The sequence below is a fragment of the Homo sapiens genome, chromosome 2 (assembly GCF_000001405.40).
Source record: "Homo sapiens chromosome 2, GRCh38.p14 Primary Assembly".
NCBI classification, from domain to species: Eukaryota; Metazoa; Chordata; class Mammalia; order Primates; family Hominidae; genus Homo; species Homo sapiens.
Window position 1 is genome coordinate 14,217,044 of NC_000002.12, and position 19,522 is coordinate 14,236,565.

General features: G+C 36.6%; 1 long non-coding RNA gene across 1 annotated transcript in view, besides 2 other annotated features; it reads right to left on the reverse strand.

The window, feature by feature from the left end:
• Positions 1–11,830: 11,830 nt before the first annotated feature.
• LINC00276 (long intergenic non-protein coding RNA 276) overlaps positions 11,831–19,522 on the reverse strand; it is a 172,085-nt gene continuing 164,393 nt past the window's right edge. Inside the window, exons 3-4 of the long non-coding RNA NR_103814.2 lie at positions 18,847–18,907; positions 11,831–15,021 (exon numbers count right to left, since the gene is read on the reverse strand). This is a non-coding gene — a long non-coding RNA (long intergenic non-protein coding RNA 276). The remainder of the gene's footprint in view (positions 15,022–18,846; positions 18,908–19,522) is intronic.
• Positions 14,705–15,341: an enhancer, noted in NCBI's record as "OCT4-NANOG hESC enhancer chr2:14371872-14372508 (GRCh37/hg19 assembly coordinates)". NCBI's record gives its function as "activates a minimal SCP1, AML or CMV promoter by ChIP-STARR-seq in naive H9 embryonic stem cells {active_cell/tissue: H9 hESC(naive)}" and the evidence as "EXISTENCE:reporter gene assay evidence [ECO:0000049][PMID:30033119]".
• Positions 15,342–15,977: an enhancer, noted in NCBI's record as "OCT4-NANOG hESC enhancer chr2:14372509-14373144 (GRCh37/hg19 assembly coordinates)". NCBI's record gives its function as "activates a minimal SCP1, AML or CMV promoter by ChIP-STARR-seq in naive and primed H9 embryonic stem cells {active_cell/tissue: H9 hESC(naive and primed)}" and the evidence as "EXISTENCE:reporter gene assay evidence [ECO:0000049][PMID:30033119]".

The window sequence follows — 19,522 nt, forward strand, 5'->3', positions numbered from 1 at the left end:
CATTCACCTTCCACCATGATTATGAGGCCTCCCCAGCCATGTGGAACTGTGAGTCAATTAAACCTCTTTCCTTTATAAATTACCCAGTCTCAGGTATGTCTTCATTAGCAGTGTGAGAACAGACTAATACACTCACAAACATGTGCATGCAGTGAATCCAGTATAGAAAGTGCAAGGACACTTAATGATGGTTGACTTGAGTTTGAATTGAGCTTCCCCATGTTTTTTAACTTGTAAAATCATGTGCAAGACTACTGAATTCAGTGATTCAATTTTCCAACTGTAGAAAGTGAAGATTAGTAGTAAAAATTATTCAATATGACACCATTGGAGTTTCTAAATACTAAGTAAATAAGATATATTAGTGCCTGAAGAAGTGTACAGAACTATCTGAAAAATAAGCTATTACTATATACATAATTGTAGATTTCAGTTAAAAGTACTCCTCTTAAATTGGGGTTATTTATAATGAGAAATATGTTTTCCAGTTCCATTTATTTTCTTTCAAATACGGTTGACCCATGAACAATATGAGAGTTAGGGATGCTGAGTCTTCATGCAGTCAAAAATCTTGCATGTAATTTTTTACTCCCCCAAAACTTAACAATTAATAGCCTACCACTGGCTGGAAGACTTACTGATAATGTGAATAGTAAACACGTATTTTAATATTCTATGCTTTATATACTGTATTCTTAAAATAAAGTAAGCTAGAGAAAAGAAAATGTTATAGAAAAATGTTATAAGAAAAATTATAACGAGGTGAAAATATATTTACTATTCATTAAGTGGAAGTAGATCATTATAAAGGTCTTCATTCTCCTCCTGTTAATGTTGATTATCCTGAAGAGGAGGAGGAGGAGGAGTGGTTGGTCTCACTGTCTCAGGGGTGGCAGAGGCAGAAGAGGTAAAGGAGGTAGAGGAGGTGGAAGGGGAGGTAGGAGAGACAGGCATACTTGGTGTGACTTTTATTAAAAACAATCCAAGGATAAGTGGTCCTGCATGGTTCAAAACCATGTTGTTCAAAGGTCAATTGTATGTATAATTTACTTCCTCAACTTTTTTTTGATGAAACGCAAACTTAAAGTTGAAAGAGTAGTACAATGCTTATGTACCCCTATTAGTATTGTAAATTCACCAATTATTAATATTTTGCCAAATTTTCTTTCTATAGCCTCTGTATCTGTATGTATGTTAATATGTATGTATGTAAAATTTTGTAAAAGTTGCAGACATTATTCTACTGTACCCCTATATCTCCTAAAAATAAAAACATGCTCTTGCTTAACTATAATATTATATTCACAACCTTGAAATCTAACATTAATACAATGATATAGTTAAGAAATAATTTAGGCACAATTTTTTTATCTAGAATCTAATCAAGTCTTTTGGTGTTTTTTTTTTTTCTTTTTTTAATATAAAATACCCCTCTTATTTTTATACCATTGATATTTTTTAGAAAGACAGGCCATGGGCATTGTTAGTATCCCACAGTATATACTTGTCTGATGTTTCTTTATATTCAGATTAAACATAAGCAAGGATGTTTCTCAGGAGATGTTAACTTATTCCCAGAGTGTTTCATCAGGAGGAACACAGTTCCAGTTTTCATTATTAGTCATATAGTATTTTAGCCCTCAGTTGTAGTATCTGCTACATTTCCTTCACTTGAGCCCAGGAGTTCGAGGCTGTAATGAGCCATGATCACACCACTGCACTACAGGCTGGGTGACAGAGCAAGACCCTGTCTCAAATTAAGAAAAAAAAAAAAAAAAAAAGATAGTTTGAAGACCTGTATTATGACCAAGCAGCACAGAGGGTCATGGAGGCCAGGGTCGAAAGAGATGTCGTTTGTCTTCGTATAGACGGAAATAGGGGGAAATCAAAAGATATTTCTTCATTTTAATTGGCTTTATTTTTAAGGAAAGGTTATTGTACGAATGACTGTGTTTTCAAAAGACATAAAATATTTTAAGTAACCTTGGGGAGTTTTGTTACCATTTTAGATAACTCAAATTGACCACCTAAATAAGAACTCGTGAGAAGTATGCAAATGAATCTATAGGTATCCATAAATGGTAGCAATGGACTGCAAATGTTTCTGAAAATTCTCTCAGCTGAATATATACAGACTTATTATGTTTCAAACCTTTGCTCCTAAGCATTCATGTAGGCTGACTTTTCAATTTCAAGGGATTTCAGTGCAGTTCCCTGCAATTTATCATGTGAAAGGAATTAACAAGAAAGAAAATTGGAAGCACATTTACACTTGCCAAGACATTTCCCTTCAGATGGAGAAAAACTACTGAATGAATAATAAAAGAAAGATGATTTTCGAGCATCAAAAACAGAAAAATTACTTAAAGTCCCAGTTAGTAAAGCCAGGCTTCCCTTTCCTACAGAGCATGAATAAGCACCAGGTACACAATAAAAATCCGTTATGATCCAGCTCATAATCACACAGGTTCAGGCATGCTAAGGGCTGCCTTCAGTGCCCTGCCCCCTTTACAAAACACTCTGATTAGCTAGGTACTACCACATGTCTCTACACATAAGACAAATCCAAATAAAATTGATCCCCTATTTTCCCAATTGTCCAATGGAAAAATTTTCCAAAATAAGGCTTTTTTTTCAGCCAACGTGAATATTTAAACTTGTTAAGCATATTTGAAATCTTTCATGTTGTCATTGCCCAGGGCTAATTTTTGGTTCTCTCATCTGTATTCACTCCCTGGTGTTCTATTGCCCTTTCATGGTTTAATCATAGGATATCTATATTCCAATGGCTCCTAATTCAATTAGTAACTTTCCCCAACCGAACGTAGATATCTCATTTCTACTCAACCTTTTCTGTTGGATATCTGATAGTTCACACATGCACCAGAACAAACTCTTCTCTGTGCCATTCCTAGGTGTTCTTACTTGCTACGCCCAGCAATCTTATGCCTCCTCTTCCCCCATGTAGCTTTACACAACTCAGGTAATGACAATTCAGGAAGCAAGCAGAGGGGAAAAGGTTTTTGAAAGATAAAGAAGGGTCATAAATATAGTACTCAGTCAGAAGATAATCTTGGTTTATCAGACTGTATACTACCATGATAATGTTAAATTCCACCTCCCAAATGGCAGAGAACCTTTTGTCATTTCAATGTCTTTCAAGAGATTTATACCAAGACTCAGTGAACAAGAAATCCAGAGCTGAATCAAGAGACCCAGGGCAGGAGAAATTCATCATAGGCAGAGACCGCCTTATGCAAATTCCTGAACCCTGAGCAATAACAGGAAGTCAGAGAAATCATAGCAATTAGGATGAGGTACCAGTAACACTGGTAATCTGGCATGCAGCAGAATGTGACAAGAAAATAGATCAAGTGGGTCAAAATCAAGAATATTCAGAACAATATAGCAAAAGTGCAAGAAGATCCAGGCCAAATCATTCAAGAGGCCTTTCCCTATCCACTGTTAATTAGCCCATCAAAGAGAAATAAAAATTTAAAATTGGAATTACATTTATGTGATTCTAGTGTATGTACTAATTTGTTATATGAATCTCTGCTTAAATTAGTGCTTACACTACTGTTCTACAATGTGAGTTTAGCTCGTCTCATTTCATGTTTTGTTATTAATGAACAAAGACCTTCCATTTTATATAATCTCCTTTTAGATTATCCAAATACCATCACATGCTATATTCATATAACTATGATCACAGAACCAGTAAAAGATATTATACATAAGAGAGAACACAGACCAATGTCCTACATAAACATAAAGATTGCTTTCAATTATTTCTATGTTTCCCTATAATTTTGCAAATAGAAGAGTTCCTCCTAGCATTGCTAAGAAGAGATACATGTCTAGGATTATAATAATTAGTACTTGAACAGCACCCCAAAATTAGGATGAGATAGCCCAAGTAAGAAACACCCGTGAGTAAATTCAGCTATTATCATTGTCAAAACGAAACACTGGTTTTTGGAACCAAGAAGTTTGAATAATCCAATCCAGAGTTCTTAAAAACTACTGAGATTTTAGTTTTTAAAAAAATTGTTGGGGAAAGAAAGGATTAAAAAGCAAACAAGTCAATCCTTGGCTCAGTTTCTGCCTCATATTTATGCACCCATCTGCCATAGCCTAAGGTTAAAAAGTACTCATTTTAATCATGGAAAACATATCCATCACAAGTTAGCCTGAAATAAATCACTCCCCACAGGAAAAGCAATTTAAACATGGATGGCTCTACAACAAAGTAGAAGAAAAAAAGAAAGAGAGAGAGAAACAATAGTTTTGTTTTTTTTTTTTTAACTCCCCAATTTACTGAAAGTTAAATCTCAAATCAGCATTCTCCAAACTCAACTTCCCCAAATATTTGATGAACAAAGCAATTACATTTGATCTTCTCAAACAGATCTTTCAAATTTGGGGATTGACATAATATTGCAATGTCATATAGCTTGCAAGCAGCATTTGAATGTGGTAAGGAAGCCAAAGTATATATTAAACGCACTAAAATTTATTTCCTTCAGCCTAAGAATGTTTGTTAGTTTGTGAAATAGACCCACAGATAATGTAAATATTTTGACAGAAAATTGGTAGTGGTGACTACGCGTAAAACTATCTGAGGACAAATGTACTGTGACTTGGAACATAAGATACAATTTTCTTTGCATAAAGGCAAAATGAAGTGATGACAGAGTTCACAAAACCTATTCTCCTCTAGAAATTGCATTCCGACTTTTTCTTTCATTGGGCATCTTTCAAAAAGAAAAACTTGACACTCCAAGCAATCCCACTGGCATTGGTTTGCAAGTAATCACAATTCCATAATTTACTTTTTTCCTTTTTTATACTCTTTTTACCTTCAAGAGTATTAAAAAGACATTCCTGCTCCTCCTGTGTTTAAGAAGTTTACTGTAGGGGAAAAAAATTAAGGTAGCCTAAACTGTACATCCCACTTATCTCTTCCATTTCCTTTATGATTCTGCATGTTCTGCTTCCTTCTTTCCTATCAGATAAATCCAACTGAATAATGCCAAGCACAGTGCTAGTGTGAGAATACAATTTTGGATTAGATGTTATTTCTGCTAACCACTTACTTCCTAAGTAGTGTCTCCCACATACTTAATTATCCTTTTTGTCCTAGAATTTCCTAGAATTCCTCTTTACATGATTCACATTCTAATGAAACTAAACTATCCCCAAATTTCAAACCATACCCTACAAATAGAGGCGCCCATTTGTGCCTCTTCTTAAGCTATCCATTCTGTCTCAGGTGTCCTTAGTCTGAATTTTTCCATGTCCACATTTGATACATTTTACAAGTTCCAGCCTAAATATTAACCTACTTGCAAAGTTTTTCCTCATCTGTCACCTGGAAACAGTTTTACTTTCCTCTGAACTCTCAAAATGCTCTATGAATCTCTCAAGTTATGTGACACGGTGACTTTTGCATTCAAGTAATTTACGCGCATCTCTTCTCTCCCTATTTGGATGGCTGCAATTTGGGCAATCTTGTTGTCTTTCCTTTGAATCCATCCCTGCCTGTCTCCCAGTACCTAGGCCCATGGAGCATTCTGTGCAGGCAATATGATATCCATGATTCTTTGATTTAAAAAAATGATCATTTATACTCTCCCAAATAAATGCAAAAGGCTTAGAAAATCTACTATTGACTAGGCCCCACTTCATAAAGTAGACTATAAAAAATGGCACTAAAAAATTCCATTTAAAAAAACAAAGAAGTTTAACTTACAGAAGATACTTGACTTCTGTTTAACGTTTCAGAAAGAATGTTTCTCAAAAGAAAACTCAAGTATGAACTATTGACTAAGCTAATTTGCGGAAGAATAAAACAACAGGCCAATTGCAGTATAACGTCTTAAGCAACTCAGTTCATTTTGGATCTTGGTATTATCACTTTGATCTTGGTTTCAAGTTAATATAACTTGAAAACAGGCTGGGATAAGAAGACAGAGGCACATGTTCTCATTGATTCCGTCATATGCTGGCTCGATGTTAAAATGTGTGGCATATGGTGGAAAAGTTTGCAGCAAATTCATTCTTCTTGAAGTCTTTAGAAAACTTTTGCATATAAAAACAATAAAAATTAAAAATCCGTGCATTACCAAACAACTGATGTGCACTTCTTATGTCCTTTGGTACTACCTGGGAACAATAAAGGGTATATAAAAAGCACAGAGAGTTTGTACAGACATACCTTCATTTTATGGAGAACAAGGTTCTCACATTTGAGACTCTCTGCAGTGCAAAAGACTTGGATTTTTGAGCAAATGTTCAGATAAAGCCAAAGGATGCATATTTCAATAAGAAATCAGCCAAATGAGAAGTGGGCCCAGGAAAAAAGCATGTTTGAAACCCCAGACCTTTGGTTGATAATGCTATGTAATTTACAACGAACATGAATATTTAACACTGTACCAAGCACGAGATTAATTATTAGTTAACTGATTCCTCAATGCCTGCTCTAAAAACCCACACTAATGAGAAAATTAATAATCAAAGATTTCAGAATATCATAAAATGATTAAACTTTGAGGAATATTAGAATTTCTCTAGTCCAATTCTTTCATTTTGTGATTTTAGATAGAGGCACAGACATTGGAAATGTCTTGTGTAAAGTCACTAATTACTTCTAGTGATGGGGCCATTACTCATTTCTTACCAGGGTATGAAGAGTTTACTTGCCACTTTCTTAAAAGGGGTTGCTGATTCAGAGCTCTCCTTGGAGTGGGCCAGTTGGTGAGTGATCAACAAAGCATATACTTTCTCCAGAAGCAAAGCTGCTAATATGTTCTCTGCATCTGCTCCTGGAAACACAGCGTTTCTATATCCTCTCTTTGGTGAGCTGCAGCTATGAGTGATCCCTAATGAGCTTATAAGTAAATTATGTCTTTAATTTATGCATCAATATAATAGGATCTTCCCCTTGATTTTTAATGTAACGATCACTTTTCAGGAGATGTAGAAAGAGGCACAGAATGAGTCAGTGGCTTAAGGTTTTAATCTGTATTTTCTCATGATGCTACCTTAGGCAATTATTTAAATTCCCTGAGCCTTGTCTCCTCCCACCAATAACATCAGGGCACACTGATAACTATGAGATAATAAAACTTACATTTATTACATGCCTAACATGAATCATAAATTTAAATGCCTCCTTTATTAAATCACAGATACCTATAACACAGGTATGATTACTATCTTCATTTTCCACGTGAGAAAACAGTGGTTAGCAATTTTAGGGAGGCAGTATAATACAGTGGTGATGAATACAGGACTTGGATGCAGAATGGGTTTAAATTCTGGCTTCACTACCTTCTAGCTATGTGATCTTAAGGAAATGACTTAACTCTTTATGCAACTGTTATCTGACCTGTAAAATGGCAACTATATTAATATAAAATTCATTTGGTTGTTGTAGAGATTAAATGGAAAAATATACACCTCTTAAAACATCCCATGAAACACAGTAATTATCAATAAATGTAGACTAATTGCCATCATTGTAATATATTGTCCAAAATCATAGTACCACAAAGTGGCAGACGCCAAATCAGCCACTGCTCTAGTTTAATAGGAGGAGCCCTGGATTTTACCTATCATGCTGTGCTCCTTAAAGATCTTCATTGTTTCTTTCAGATTTTATGACCCTGATATATAGGCTATATTAGGGAGACATTGACCCTTTCAACTTTTATATAATATGTTAGACATTTAAAGCTATGTGAATTTACTAATTGATATCCTATTGCTTAAGAGTATGATTTTTTTGCTTTTTTTAGTTATAAAAACCACAAAAAATACATATATAATTTTTATTCACCCAAATCCCCAAAAAGGGGTAAACTGACAATGTGTGCATTCTGATATGATGGACTGAGAAGGACACAACATCACTTCTGTGGGATTCTGTATACGTCACCTAGATGCACTCTTGAGGAAGCAATCAGTCTAACCCCATTGAGGCACCATACAAAACAACTGGGCAATGCTCCGTAAGTGTTCCGAGCCATGAGAAACAGAGGGTACTGAGCAGCTGTTCTAGAATGAAGTCTTGTGAGACATGAAAAAATTCAATGTGTATTTCTGATTGGATTCTGATCCAGAGCAAGGACAATAATGATAAAATCTACTCTATTCTGCACAGATTGTCTCATGTCCTGCTGCTGATCCTGAATTCAATTCAGGAATACATGAATCAATGTTATTTTCCTTATTTGATATTTCCTGATTGAATATTTGGAGATTTAGAAACTGTAGGATTACATAAAACCTCCTTTAGGTAAATAACATGAGAACATGAAGGAAAAAGTCCCAGCAACCATCCTGCAGATAGAAGACCTGGGCTCCAAATGAAGATTGGGTCTGGCACAGTGACTCACACCTGAGCCACTAATCCCAGCACTTTGGGAGACTAAAGCTGGCAGATCACTTCAGGCCAGGAGTTCACCACCAGACTGGCCAAAACGGTGAAACCCCATCTCTACTAAAAATACAAAAATTAGCCAGGCATGGTGGTGCATGCCTGTAATCCCAACTACTCGGGAGGCTGAGGCATGAGAATCACTTGAACCCAGGATGGGGAGGTTACAGTGAGCCGAGATCACGCCATTGCACTCCAGCCCAGGCAATAGAATGAGACCCTGTATAAAAAAAAACAGGTAGTTGCTTATGGTAAGTGGCAATTCTGGATTCTGTCTCTCATCTCTCAGACCAGTGCTCTTTCAGCTACATCAGACTGTTGAAAACATTCATGCCTTTAAAATATTGCCTTAGTTTCCTACGACTGCTTTAATAAGTTAACAAAAGTGGGTGGCATAAAACAATACACATTTTTTATTTCACTTATAGTTTTGGCAGACAGAAGTTCAAAATCATTTTCACTGGGCTAAAGTACAGGTTGTTAGCAGGGCTGTGATCCGGCCAGAGACTCCAGGAAAGAATCCCATTCCCAGCCTTGTCCAACTTCTAGAGCAGCCACTCATGCAGTCCTTGCTTGATGATCCCTTCCTCCATATTCAAAGCCAACAGTTTTGCATCTTCTTTTTCCATCATAACTTCACCTTCCCTTAATCTGCCTTAAGATCTCCCCCTGTCTCACTCTTATAAGGACACTTGTGATTTCACTTAAGGCTGGCTCAGATGATCCAGGATATTTTTTCAATCTCAAAATCCTTCGTTTAATCACAGCTGTAAAGGCCACATTACCATACAGTGCAATGTTCACAGGATCGATGGATTAGGACCTGGATAACTTTGGGGGTCATTATTCAGCCTACCACAAGCATAGAAAGTCATCTCCATTTTTGCTAGATTTTATTTTTATTCATATCCTCAAGTAGGCCTTGATTCCTGTTCAAGCTGGAACTGAAATTAATAGTTGGGAAGCAGTTAATTCTTAATCATCTTTTTAGCAACAAAATACTTACTTATGCTCTCAGAGTGTGTGTCTCACATATTTTCTAAGCTTTTGGTAATCTTATGTGTCTCTCGGGTGAGCTTCTTCGAAGGTAGAAGCATATTATATATTTGGCATATCTCCAGTGTGGTAGGCTGAATATTGGTCCCTAAAGATATTCAGATCCCAATTCCTGGAACCTATGAATGTCACCTTCTATGTGAAAAGGAACTCTGTGGAGGTTATCGGAGGATTTGAGATGGGAAAATTATTCTGGATTATGTGAGTGGGCCCTAAATGCAGTCACATCGGACCTTAAAAGAGCGAGTAGAGGGAAAATTGACACAGAAGAGGAGAACACAATATGACAATAGGAACAGAGAGTGGAGTGAGTGACAGGGCCATAGCCAAGGAAAATCGACAGCCACTAGAGTCTAAGAAGGGCAACAGAAAACAAATTATTTCCTGGAGATTCCCAGGGGAGCACAGCTCTGCCAACACCTTGATTTAGCTATGTAAGACTTAGTTTGGATTTCTGGCCTCTAGAACTGCAAGAAAATAAATGTTTGTTATTTTAAGCCACGAATTTCGTGGTAATTTGTTACAACAGTAACAGGAAACCAATATATCTAGTAACCAGCTCAGTACCTGACACATAGAAGGAACTCAACGAACGCCTGATAAATGTTAGAAAGGAAAAAAAAATGGAAGAAAGGGAGGAAGAGGGGGTGGAAGGAAGGATTAAAGTTATAAGAAAAATCAACATTTTGGATATTAAATTAATATTTGCCCTGTTTTCCTCAACTGGGGAATGTTACTGACCTCCCAATTGAGAATACTTAAGACTTTTTTTTTTTTTCCTTCAGTTAAATGTCTTCTATCGAAGTCTCAGGAACTGTATTTTTTAAATCTACATTGGGACAGGAAGACTACATGACATGTTTCACCTTGAGAGGATTTTTGCAGTTGAGTTATAAACTTCTGCAAGAAGAAGTTATAGTAAAAGCCAGAGGGGTTGTTTTCTAAGGGAGAGCTTGCAGGCCTGTTCCTGTAATTGGAAAGTGGTTGGAATTTAGAGGTGAAGGTACATCCTCTGACTGCCTTAAGAGATTCATTCATTTCTGTCTGAAATTTTTAGGCTGAAAACCACATCACTACAGGCAAAGCCACTTTAAAAAATGTTCTAACGTCTATTAGCCCCAGGCAAACAATTATTACTTGTTAGATTTAGTGATACATGAAATATGAAAATCCAGATATATGGCTTCACAAATAATATATCCTGACCCATATTGAACTCCTTAATTTGTGATATTTAGTGAAAACCTGTAAATGACTTAAAAGGAGCTAGATCTGTCTATAATAAAACACTGGGTGGTTTACTCAAGTGTGAAATTAAACAAAACTGAAGATGGAAAGGTTGCAGCAATTAAGCTATTATCCTGTAGACATTTTTCTGTGAGTCCTAAGCTAGGATTCAATTAAAATGAAGATGTGTTTTTTTTTTGTCTGAAATTATCATTGACTTATTGAGTTTGACAATACTCAACAATGCCTTAATGTTTCCCCAAGTGAAAGAAATCACTTTGCTCTGTCATAGAGATAAATGAGGTAAATACATCAGGAGACCCAACTCAATAAGAATATTGATGAAGTTCTGCTTGGATGCATAGACCCTTCAGTCATGAGAGACTTGTCAGATATCCAAAGTGAGTTCTGTGTTATTGTTTACCAAAAAATGTCTAAAATGAATCTAACCCCCCTATGCTGTAATTTCCTCAATTATTTTTCAGGTTATGCTACATTTTTCATTGCGAGCTGCATTAAACCCGAGCTTGAATGAGAAAGGTTTTAAATAAATAAAGTAAAAACAAAATAACTATCCAGCTGAATCCAGCTCTGTATTTGCTGACTTTTTACTCAAATAATATTTGTCATTTAGATTTTAAAACTAGGCTAATGAGTTATATGTAAAGTATTTCCCCTCATTTTTCAGGAAAATATTTTATACATTTTTCTTTACACATATGTAATTTTACACAGTATTCAATTACAGAACCGTATAATACACACTGTTTACTTAATGAGGCTAGCATTTATTTTGCTTTTTAATTGCCTGCTTCCTTCCTCTTTCCTTCATCTCTTCACCCTTATCACGACCCTTCTAGGTAAACCATGTTAACATCTTCCATACTTGTCTCTATACTTAGGTGTATCCAAAAATGCATTATGTATATATGCATACGTGGACAAACACATAAACCTAAATTTTAAAATATGTGCACATATTTGAATCATGACTTACAAAAATTAAAACATGTCATACACATTTTTCTTCACCTTGTTTTCTCAATACCTGATAAACATTCCTTCCAATAAACAGCTATAATTCCAATCCATTCTTTCTAATGGCTTTTTTTTTTCAATTTTTATTTTAGGTTCAAGGAGTACATATGCAGGTTTGCTACATGGGTAAACTGCCTGTCATGGGAGTTTTGTGTACAGATTATTTCATCACCCAGGTAATGAACATAGTATCAGATAGGTAGTTTTTCAGTTCTCACTCTCCTCCTACCCTCCACCCTCCAGTAGGCCCGACGTCTACTGTTCCTTTCTTTTTGTCCAAGTGTTCTCAATGTTTAACTCCTGCTTAGCAGTGAGAACATGCAGTATTTGGTTTTCTGTTCCTGTGTTAATTGACTTAGGATAATGGCCTCTGGCTCTATCCATGTCCCTGCAAAGGACATGCTTTTGTTCTTTTTTTATGGCTGCATAGTATTGCATGGTGTATAAGTACCACATTTTCCTTATCCAGTCCACCATTGATCAGCATCAAGGTTGATCCCATGTCTTTGCTGTCTTTGCTACTGTGAATAGTGTCGCAATGAATATATGTGTGTTCTTTGAGGAAGTTCTTTGAAAGATCTCCAAACTTCTTTACACTGTGGCTAAATTAATGTACATTCCTACTAGCAGTGTATCAGTTTTCCCTTTTCTTCAGGACCTCACCAGAATGTTATTTTTGACTTTTCAGTAATAGCCATTCTGACTGGTATGAGATGGTATCTCACTGTGGTTTTGACTTGCATTTCTCTAAATATTTGTGATGATAAGCATTTTTTTCTCATATGTTTTTTGGCCACATATGTCTTCCTTTGAGAAGTGTCTGTTCGTCTTCTTTGCACATTTTTGGATAGGGTTGTTCACTCCTTGTTTGTTAATTTGTTGAAGTTCTTTATATATTCTTCATATTAGACCTTTGTGGGATGCAAAATTTGCAAATATTTTCTCCCATTCTGTAGATTATCTGTTTACTCAATTTTTGTTGTTGTGCAGAAGCTCTTTAGTTTAATTAGGTCCCATTTGTCAATTTTTGTTTTTGTTGCAAAGGCTTTTGAAAGCTTTGTCATAAAATCTTTGTCAGGGCCTCTGTCCAAGGTGATATTTCCTAGGTTTCCTTTTAGAGTTTTTACAGTTTGAGGTTTTCCATTTAGGTCTTTAATCTATCTTGAGTTGATTTTTATAAATGGTGAAAGGAAAGAATCTAATTTCAATCTTCTGCATATGATTAGCCAGTTATCCCAGCATCATTTGTTGAATATGGAGTCTTTTACCTGTTGCTTGTTTTTGTCAGTTTTGTCAAAGATCAGATGGTTGTAGGTTTATGGCTTTCTTTCTGGGATCTCTAACCTGTTGTATTAGTCTATGTGTCTGTTTTTGTACCAGTACTATGCTGTTTTGGTTACTGTAGCCCTGTAATGTATTTTAAAGTTAGGTATCATGAGGCCTTCATCTTTGTTTCATTTTTTTTTCCTTAGGATTGCTTTAGCTATTCAAGCTTTTTTTTGGTTCTATATGACATTTGAAATAGTTTATTCTAATTCTGTGAAAAATGTAATTGGTAGTTTGATAGAAATAGCATTGAATCTGTGAAATTGCTTTGGGCAGTATGGCCATTTAAAAAATACTGATTCTTTCTATCGAAGAGCATGGAATGTTTTTCCATTTCTTTATGCCATCTCTGATTTCTTTCAGCAGAGTTTTATAATTCTTATTCTAGAGATGTTTCATCTCCCTGGTGAGCCATATTCCTAGGTATTTTTTGTATGTGGCTATAGTGAATGGGATTTCATTTTTGATTTTGCTGTCAGCTTGGATGTTATTGGTGTATAGAAATGCTACTGATTTTTGTACATTGATTTTATATTTTGAAACTTTGCTGAAGTTATTAGGCCTAGGAGCCTTTTTGCAGAGACTATGAGGTTTTCTAGGTGTGAAATTATATCATTTGTGAAGATAAATAGTTTGATGTCTGTTATGGTTTGGCTGTGTCCCTAGTCCAATCTCATTTTGAACTGTAGCTCCCATAATCCCCATGTGTCATGGTAGGGACTTGGTAGGAGGTAACTGAATCACGGGGATGGGTTTTTCTCATGCTGTTCTCTTGATAATGAATAAGTCTCATGAGATCTGATGGTTTTATGACGGGGTTGTATCTAATGGTTGCATTCATGAACATCCATGGTATAGATGTACCATAATTTGAATAACTACTTTATCATGTTTGGGTATTTTTCTAATATCTAATGCAAGAAAATTATTTATTCATAGGTCTCTACTAGTAACCCTTTGGTTTCTATAACATACATTTCTAGATATAAAGTATTGCTTGATGAAAAAGTGTATGTACATTAAATTTTAATACCCTCTTTATCATGGCTTAAAAATTAAAGATATAACAATGCATATTCACTCTAGGAGTTTTTAGAGTACTATTTTCTCTGCATCCCCAACAAAAATAAGTATTGTCATTTTTGCATGTGTTTCTATTTTGATATATATCAGTGATATCTTTTAATTAGCTTAACTTGTGCTATACTACTACATAACTATACTTCCACCTGATATTGTTACATTTCTGAAAATCATCATTCTTTAGTGAATTTAGAATAAGACAAAACAATTTATAAAGAGGAAAATGAAAGCAACTCCTATGCAGTAGATGTACGCCTCTGGATGTGAGTGGGAGGGGCACTATTCTCCTTTGGTTTGGGGGAAGCCCAGTGTCTTTCTGAATCCAAAGGAGACCTATGTAATATGGGAACAGGAATCATCTATGAGCTTTGTACTACCTAATCTTGGCAGTTCATTGTCTTTCTGAATCCAAAGGAGACCTATGCAATATGGGAACAGGAATCATCTATGAGCTTTGTACTACCTAATCTTGGCAGTTCATTGTTTATTCAATGTTTGCACATCCCTGGGAATTTGGAACTCATTTTATTTGAGTGAGTCCAGCTGGAGCAACTCTACTATTAGAAATCCATGTATCTGAAGAGTCTACTCCTTACTTCTACTTGTTGATCTTCAATTGTTTTCTTAACAAAATAGATGAAAAAAATCTAATCTCTCTTCAGTAGGAGTTCATTTAAACATAGTATTTGATGACACTTAGCACTTATTAAGAATTGTTTTCTTCTCTATGTATCTTCATGTATTTCAACCATTCCTCAGAAAAAAAAATAAAGTCTCACCACTGGCACTTCCATTTTCTATTACAGCTCTCTTCCTTCAGCAAATATTTAACTTATTACAAGATACTAAGAGAAAAAAACAACAACAAAATGAAAACGTCATATGATTCCATTCAAAGAAATACTTAAAATAGTATTTTACCAATTGTGTTTCTAGATATGAGGAACTAGGAAACAGTTTCCATGCCTGTCACAAATGTGAATTCTCCCACTAGAGAAAGCAGAAATTGCAGAAACTGAGCCCAAGAATCTGAAAGCATTTGAAAACCGCTTCCCCAGGTAATTATTCACAATCTCAGCATAGAGCTAGTGCCTTTAAGGCCTTTATCTTGTTCTTACCACCTGGATTGATTTAGGATGTCAGTCAGTTGTCAGAAACAAAGGATAGGAAATGCGCTAATTACCTATTAAACACCTCCAATTGGCTCGTAAGAATAACTTTCTTTTCTTCAGTCTGAGAAGCATGCATTTGGCCTCCCTTGCAGGAACCTCAATCCCTTGAGTGCTTTATTCATGCTGTGAGACTGTAGTTGAAATAAAGGTTTCCCTGAGCCTTAATTGACTTGCTCCCACTTTTCTCTTGTAACTGTCTTTCTTTCTACAAATTCGCTTCTTAAAGATGTCACATTTTTCTTTAAGAAAAGTTGACATTCAGTAACCAAACTCTTTGGAGAGCAAACCAAATCATAATGGCTTTTTCATAAAAAGGAAAGCCAAGTTGTTTATTTAAAAGAGAATGGATGAATCTCAATTTGAATATGAAGACATGTAAAAATGTCTTCATATTCATGTTTTCATTACCTATAGGCTATGGTATTAGAAGAACTTGAGTAAAGATCTTGTTCAGTGTCCTTTCAGCTTTGATTCTTTGGAATATTAAGGGTTTAGATATCTTAAAGCCCCGTATTGACTTATCTATGCTCCCTAGGTGCCCCAACGATCATATCTTAGCTAACATTGGAAAGCTTCTCAGAAATTCAACATGATATTGAGGCTGTAGTGGAGGTCATGCAAAACAGACAAGGAAACCAGAGAATCAAGTGGTTTCAAGAAAAACATTTACCTACAGCCTTGTCTGTACTTGGAGAGGACTTTGAGTTCAGAGCTGGAGAACTTGGGTTCCAGTGGTACAACCAAGTCCCCTAGGTATATAGACAAGTGATGTGTCCTTTCCAAATTCCTACTTACTTGTCTAAAAAATGCAATAATAATTATTTCCCACCAAAAGTTATTGCTATGGTGAAAGAAGTATCATAAAGTAAAATGGTAACTTATTTTTCACTGAAATCTGGACCTCAAGGGCCAAAATCTACCCACCTACACTAACCCAGGTATGTAGACTGATGGTCTGTATAATCTCATTATATAAACTTACCTAGGCAATATTTAAAACACTATGAGAAATAGTAAAAACTATAAATCTGGGTTGATCCTATATTTAGTTAACCTTTAACAACTGGTTAAGTGAGGTTGAAAGGGTTTTGCAGAAGCAGATCCTGAGATGAGGGTTTATGTGCAAGTGATTCTTAACGAAGTACTCCCTGGAGAATCACGTGAGGATGTGGGAGGAGGAGTGCAGGGAATGGGAGAAGTCCAGCCAGGTTGGGGCTTTAGGTGCAGTCGCAGCAACAACCTCAGAAACAGTAGAATATAACTTACACCTCTGGAATTTGTTCACCCTGAAGGTAAGGCAAATTATTTTTCATACCTCTGTATTAGCTTGTCCTTGGGTAAAGGCTAGGGGTGCCTAATGAAGATGTATAAACCCTCTGGCACCTTGGCTGTCTGTGAATAAGGGTGAATGAAGCAGGAGGCTCAAGGGATCCAAAAATAGTCCCCTGAAGAAAGTCACTGGTACAAGCCAGTAGAGGCAAAGCACAGAGAAGGTGAGGGAACTGGCATACAGAAGAATAAAAGGTGCATGAAGGGATCTGGGGAGAGTACCAACAGTAACACCTTCATTTGCCAATGCCAGTGCTGAGGCTCAGCAATAGTAAGAAGCATGCCCAAGATCACACAGCATATCAACGGCAAACTTGATTTCCCAACCCAAAACTCCCGGCTCAGTATCCCTTTCACATCGCCAGAATGCTGGCAGGTCTTTTCTAAGTCCTGATATTATTGTGCACATTCTTTATCCTAAACTGATTTTTTATTCATGTCAGAGAAAATTCCCCACCCCCATACAAATTGATATGTACCCACCACAGCAAGAGTCAATTATTTGTCAGACTATAAATAACTTAGGAAGCAGTTGCTGATAACAAATCCCTTGCAAACACTGCAGTGAGTGAAAATGCTGTCCTTATTTCCATAAGGAAATGATAAAGGGAATGAGGAGTGAGACACACTCCCTCAAATGTAAGAATTGTAGAGAAATCAGTTTTTCTGGGATGTTTGCAAGATTTCATATGTATTGGGCATTTCCATTAATACAGGACAAAACATTTAATGAAAAATAAGAATAAAAATAAGAAAGGACTTCCTGTCGTGCCAAACCCTGTTGACTCCAGTGGGGATGGCACCATGTTCAAGAGGCCAAGGAAGAGCCCTGGAGCCAGTGAATGTGACATGGGGTTTTATTGGGGGCTTACGTAGAGGGGAGAGAGTCCAGCAGTGGCAGGCTGGACAGGAGAACCATAACCCTTATAAAAGCCGTGCAGTTTATATAGCATCTTCACTTAACATCCTCCCCCTAAGAACCTCCACCTGACAACCTTCATTTAACCCACAACAAAGGGTCTTGATCCCCTTTACAGACCACAGTCCATGGGAATGGCTAGGGGCTCAGATGTTCCTCATAGATAGGGAATAAATCTCTGGGTTGTCTACTCTTGGATTCTCTCGCTCGGAACTCTGAACACACATTCAAGGGCATCTGCCATACAGAGTAGTTCTCAAGGTGAGCTCAAGTCACGTTATCACTTTGAGATGTGTTTACCACACAATCCCTACCATGATGAATGTGAACAAATTGCCTAATGATCTTGCTGCTTGGAGAAGGCAAATCTTGTTGCTTCATATTCAGAAAAGAATGCAACACACCCATCAACACAGAAGTGAAAAATACAGGGTTTCCTCTTTTATGATATCACCAAGAAATCAGTGACCAACACTGGTCTGAAACGAGGAAAAGCAAATTGTCAAAGGCTTACAGGATTTGTTAAGATGCCCATGAGAATCCACATGAAAGCGACCACTGCAACGTGGCTGTGGGAAAGCTGCCTTCTGCCGGATGCCTGCTTTAACAGCTGCTTCCTTCTGACATGGCCAGCAAATGTTTGGGCTCTTCTAGGTTCAACAAAATGGTAATTGGCTAACCAGAAATAAGAAATGATCATCATTTTATATTTTGGAATTTTATCCCCAGATATTCACAGAAGAATCACAATTAAAAGAAACCCACTTGAAAAGCATGGGCCATTTTCCAGTAATGTGCTGGCACAACCATTTTATTCTACCCTTATTTTGCCTTCACTTTCCTTTGTCCAGTGATGTTCCAAAAATAGAAGAGAATGACAAATAGTCATCCTGAGAGATTCAAAAGGTTACTACATCAAAGAGAAATTTGTTACAGTTTATTTCACTCCAAAAGGCAGCAGAATCAATAATGTAGATATTAAAGGATTCTATGCTACATGGCTTATATATCTGATATGGTTTGGCTCTGTTTCTGCACCCCAATCTCATGTTGAACTGTCATCCCCCAGTGTTGGAGGTGGAGCCCGGTGGGAAGTGATTGTATCATGGGGGTTATGTCTAAGAGTTTAGCACCATCCTCCTAGTGATGTCTTGTGACAGAGTTCTCATGAGATCTGGTTGTTTAAAAATGTGTAGCACTTCCCCTTTGCTCTCTCTCTCTCTCTCCTGCTCCACCATGGTTAGACTTACCAGCTTCCCCTTTGCCTTCTGCCATGATTATACGTTTCCTGAGGCCTCCCAGCCATGCCTCCTGTACAGATGGAGGAACTGTGAGTCAATTAAACCTCTTTTCTTCATGAATTACCTAGTGTCAGGTAGTTCTCTATAGCAATGTGAGGACTACCTAATACAACATCGTTACTCAATAATTCTGCAAATTTTGTGTCTATTTATATAACAGGTATAAAAAATACAACTTGTAGAGATTACAACCAAAATTTCTTACACATTACCAGCCCAAATCCCAACATCCTAATAACCCCCACAACCCTTCACACACATACACACCCGGGTCAGGAGACCATGTACCTGCTGTGAGATGACCTTCCTAAAAAGAGACTGATAGAAAGAAGTACAAAAGGAGACTGCAGAAGAACAGAAAAAGTGTCTCCAAAACAGATTTCAGGTGAAAAATAGGGACATTATTGTCTGTTTCTGAGCAGGGAGGCTCCTTAAGGAGGAAATGGGGAGAGAAAGGAGGATGTAGCTATCAGGTAGGAAGCAACTAGGTAAGCATCCTCACAGCCTTCCCCTCAGAGGCTATCTGGTCATACCTTAGCATATATAAAATTGATAAAGTATTTTAAATGTGTTACATCACTGCTCTGAAACAAACAGGGCAAGGGAAACAAACAGGAGAGCAAGT